The sequence below is a fragment of the Homo sapiens genome, chromosome X (assembly GCF_000001405.40).
Source record: "Homo sapiens chromosome X, GRCh38.p14 Primary Assembly".
Classification (NCBI taxonomy): domain Eukaryota; kingdom Metazoa; phylum Chordata; class Mammalia; order Primates; family Hominidae; genus Homo; species Homo sapiens.
This window is the reverse complement of record NC_000023.11, coordinates 48,711,715-48,714,251: the sequence shown is the minus strand read 5'-3', so window position 1 is coordinate 48,714,251 and position 2,537 is coordinate 48,711,715. Positions and strand designations below refer to the sequence as shown.

Genomic DNA, 2,537 nt, shown 5'->3' with positions numbered 1-2,537 from the left:
AGCCTGCAAGGTCTATTACTTATTTGTGGGTGTAAGTCCAAGGGTATGAATTCTCTGATCTCTTTGAGGGTCAGCGTACCAGAATGTCAAGTCTAGTTTGGTTATGGGTGTATGTCAAGATGTGAGCTCTCTGATCTCCTTGTGGTTGTATGTCTCAGGATGTGAGGGTTCTGATCTGTTCCTGTATGTTTGTCAACAGTGTGTAATCTCTGATCTGTTTGTGGCTCTGTGTCCCAGGTTGTGAGGTTCTGACCTGTCTTTCTTTCTTTGTCCCAGCATGCGAGATCTCTGAGGTGTTTGGGTTTATGTCCCAGGAATTGAGTCTCTGGTCTCTTTGTGAGTGTGTGCCTCAAGTAATATGTGAGGTCCCTGATGTAGTCTTTGGTTTATTTCCCAAGGTGTGAGTGCTCTGATCTATTCATGGGTATATGTCCTGGCATGTGAAGTGTCTGGTATTTTTATGTGTATATGTCTCAGGGACTGAGTTCTGTGATCTGTTTGTGGGTATAAGGCCCCAGATGTTAGTTCTCTGAAATATTTGTGGGTGTATATCTCAGCTTGTGTGGTTTTTGATCTTTCTGTGAGTATGTCACAGGATGTGAGGTCCCCGTTCTTTTTGGGTGTGTGTTTCCTAGAATTTGGATTTTCTGAGCTGTGTGTGTGTGTGTGTGTGTGTGTGCGCGCGCGCGCGCACATGTCACAGGGTTGAGGTCCCTGGTCTGTTTGTTGGTGTATGTCCAGGATGTGAGTTCTCTGATCTCTTTGGGTGTGTACGTCCCACAATTTGAGGCCTCTGAATTAGTTGATACTCTGCATCCAGCATATTAATTCTCTGAAATATATTTTGGGGTCTATACCCTAAGTCTCAGAAGGATTCTGAATCCTGAATGCGAGGGTTCTGCGCTTTTTCTGGTCTACATTCCAGGGGGGTGAGTTCACTGGGCTGTTTTGCGGACTGTGTTTACCTTGTGAGGTCTCTGAGCTGTTTGTCCACTGGTGTCCTAGGATACGTGGTCCCTGAGCTCTTTTGGTTTCAAAGTCCCTTGACCTGTTTGGGATATATTTTCAGGCGTGAAGTCTCTGTTCCTTTTCAGAGGGCTCAGTCCCGGGGTTTGATATATCTGACTCATTAGGGGTTTGTTCCAGGGTTAAGGTCTCTGAGCTTGTAATGGGTGTGTGTGCGCCAGTGAGTGAGTTTTCTGAGTTGTTTGAAGGTCTATAGGTGTGAAATTTCTTAACTCTCTGGTGGTTCCTGTGCAGAGTATGATGTCTCTGAACTATTTAGCAGTCTCTCTTTTCAGGTGTGAGGTGTTTGTACCCTTGTATGAGAACTCTGATGTATTTGAGTATCACCGCCAAACTGTTTTGAGCCAATGTCCCAACAAATGAGTTATCTGTGATGCCGTGGGTTTTGTCCTAGGGTTGATTTTCCTGAGCAGTTTCAGGATCTGTTTCCAGAGTCTGATGTCTTTGTACTAATAATGTCTTTTTACTGTTTCAAGCCTCTGGAGTGCTTCACCCTCTGTGTCCCAAAGTGTCAGATCTCTGATCTCTGTATTCCTTGGTGTTGAGGTCCCTCAACTGTTATGTTTCCAAGAGTGAGACAGTTCCTGTTGAGGGAGTCTCAGTCCCAGGGTATGAGGTCTGTGACTTATTAGGGGTCTGGTTCTAGGGTTTGGGGTCTCTGAGCAGTTTGGGGTTCTGTTATCAGTTTCTGACGTCTCTCTAGTATTTGGGGGTCTATGCCCGGGTTGTATGTCACTGGGTCACTCGGCTGTTAAGGGGTCTGTATCCTAGGGTGTAAAGTTTGTCAACTCTGAGCATTTTTGCATTGTCTGTCTGCTGTGTGAGGTCTTTGGCATGTTTGTGGGTTTACTTTTCAGGTTGTGAGGTTAACTCTTTGAGGGTTTGTGTCCCATAATATGAGGTGCTTGAGCTGTGCGGGCATACTTAGCCAGGATGTGATATCTCTGAACTGTTTTCATGTCTGTCTCCCAGGTTAGAAGTTCTCTGAGTCATTTGGGAGCCTGTGTCCACAATGTGAGGTCCTAAGCCGTTTTGGGTCTGTGTTCCAGTTATGAAGTGTCTCTACTGTTTGTGGCCAACTTTGCACAAAGGTTTCAAAGCTGTTTGGTGATCTGTGTCCATGACTATCAGCCATCTGAAATCTTTCCGGATAAGGACAAAGGGCAAGTTCCATGAATGGTTTTGAGGACTGAGTCCAGGATGTGATATTCCTTAAGCATTTAGAGGTCTGCGTTTAGAGTGGGAAGACTCCGAACTGTTTGGGGGTCTGAGCCTAGGATATGAGGTTTCTAAGCTGTTTGGGGTCCGTGTCCAGGGGGTGTGATCTCAGTTCCTCAGGGTTTTTGTCATAGGGTGTGAAGTCTTTAAGCTCTATAGAGGGTTTATGTCCACACTTTCAGGTCTGTGGGGCCTCTGAGCTGTTTGGGGATCTGTCTCGGTGTATAAAGGCTGTGAGCTATTTTGGGGAACTCTATGTCCAGTATATGACATCTCTGAACAGGAATCTGTGT

At 45.7% G+C, this 2,537-nt stretch overlaps 1 annotated feature.

Moving 5' to 3' along the window:
- Window positions 880–1,174: an enhancer, noted in NCBI's record as "tiled region #10462; HepG2 Activating DNase matched - State 5:Enh". NCBI's record gives its function as "activates a minimal TATA promoter and a strong SV40 promoter by Sharpr-MPRA in HepG2 cells {active_cell/tissue: HepG2}" and the evidence as "EXISTENCE:reporter gene assay evidence [ECO:0000049][PMID:27701403]".